Genomic DNA, 2,164 nt, shown 5'->3' on the forward strand with positions numbered 1-2,164 from the left:
TTCATATTGTCTCAACAGGTTTCTGTACAAAAAAAAGAAGAGGAAGAGCAAGGAGGAAAAGGAGGAGAACAGAAAAGAGAGGAAGGAGGAGTAGAAGGAGAGAAATGACCATTCTACCTAAATAAACAACTCTATCTAAATCATGCATCAGCAGGAGGATATTTATGGCCTCAGCACATTTCTTTTACTGCATGCTAGAGACACTTGGCTTTTCCCTCGCAAATTCAAATGTCAGTGGAATGGCTAACTCATGTGAACAGGCTTTTTTCCCAGGGAGGAGCCAGCCACACAATAAAATTTAAATGGAAAAAAAGCTTCCTGATGTTTCTCTGCGGTACTTTGAATCATGCCAACTGCTAGACCAGATTAATTACACAATTGTAAGAGCAGGAAATAAACTAATTGAGGATATTATCCTCCTCTTTCTTTTCGAGAAATACTGTTTTGTCTTGATATGAGTCCTCTCTTTCACCTTGACTTGTTTTGTTAACTCAACCACTTCTCAAACTTTTCAAGAGGGGACTGTGTATGACTTGAACCTAAGTTTTTCCCAAATGAGAAGCAGCAATTACTTTAGTGCTTGCTTCCTCAGTAATGGAATTCTTGATTGCTTTTGAAAGCATTCTAGCATATAAAAGGGGGGGTCTTTCTGCCAAAAGTAAAATTCTAATTCAAGACAGGTAAAATGGGTAGGGCCTGGTTCAACAGATTAAATCCATATTTTCATACTTTAAATCAATCCCTCCTTATCTGTCAGCCATTGTTCAGGGGAACACAGACTTTAGAAGTGCAAATTTTTCCAGCCTAACTCTATTATAATAATGTATGTATTCAAATATTCTATGAAACTATATTCCAGTAAACATGTGGGAAAAAATAGAGACTTTATTTTACAGGAAATTATCACATTTAATCTTATTTTTGAAGCTTACTCACAGAAGATAATATATTTAGCAATTTGCTAAATGATAAAAAAAAATGGAAAATTATACAAATGTTGGTTGTAACATAGTTTTCCTTGAGGAATAAAATATATGTTAGTCTAGTAGTCTATTATCAGATTTGGAGAGAGATTTTCATCTCTATCATGCCAATTCCTTTATTGACATAATGTTTCCTTGGCTACTCTGTTTAATCTATAGAGTTCCTCTCAATACTACTGCTTTTATCATTCTCAGGAATACACAAACTTGAATCTTAATCTGAACCTTGCAATAAAATTATACTTATAACAGACATTGAGAAAACTGTATGATTCAAAGACAATTAAATAGGTAAAACCGTGTGTTTGCATCCCAAATTCCCTTCATGGAAGATCTCCAACTATATTCAAGCCTTTGCTAGTGCTAGAAGAAAGCAGCCCATGTTATTCTTTTGTGGCAGAGCAGTGTCTGTTTACTCTTCCTACATCTCCTTCCCATTTCATGGATTGTGACAAAGCTTTTCCTCAGTTCCAAACTACTTCACTTCAAAGGTCTGGTGGAAATCTCCCCACTTCCTGAAATACCTAGGAAACCCCTCTGTGTCTGAGTAGCCCTTTCATTATGGGAAAGGCAGGGGGTGAATGACGCTCAGATTAGATCTAAAAGAGACTTGCTATGTCCCGCAGGCATTGTTGGAGAGAGAGGGTGTTACAGATGTTGGACTGGGGCCCTGGGTCAAATTCATCAGCCCTCATATTTTTCTTTTCTCTTCTTGAGAAAAATATTCCAGATGGTATATATTAATGTGTATTTGTAATACTTTTGGCACAGGATAGTGGCAAGATAAGAAAAAGTGAAGTAAACAGAGATGAAAAAGCAAGTTACCAGTGAAACAAAACTGGAAGCATTTAAGTTTCTAAGTAAGAGACTTCAGAGAATTAGATATAAAAAAGGCCAATTGATTTATCTGTCATTTTGTCTCCCAGTTGGAGGAAAAAAAGAGAGAAATTTCATAAGATCCACTCTTCCCTTTTAGTGGAGTTGTTTGAAAACAAATATTTTCCAAAGTTAATAAATTTAATGTGGTAAACTTTACAATTACATATTTCTCTTGTTATTGGTCTTAACTATTTTCTGATTCCCTTCACTCATCACTTTATTTCCGAAACTTGCCTGATAAAACTTGCTCAAGCATGTTGTATATGGGAATTGCCAGGCAATTGCTAAACAACTGCATATCT

General features: G+C 35.6%; 1 annotated feature.

Annotated features, from left to right (window-relative positions):
• Positions 1,255 to 1,801: an enhancer, noted in NCBI's record as "OCT4-NANOG hESC enhancer chr2:226989173-226989719 (GRCh37/hg19 assembly coordinates)". NCBI's record gives its function as "activates a minimal SCP1, AML or CMV promoter by ChIP-STARR-seq in primed H9 embryonic stem cells {active_cell/tissue: H9 hESC(primed)}" and the evidence as "EXISTENCE:reporter gene assay evidence [ECO:0000049][PMID:30033119]".

Source organism: Homo sapiens, chromosome 2 (assembly GCF_000001405.40).
Source record: "Homo sapiens chromosome 2, GRCh38.p14 Primary Assembly".
Lineage (NCBI taxonomy): Eukaryota > Metazoa > Chordata > Mammalia > Primates > Hominidae > Homo > Homo sapiens.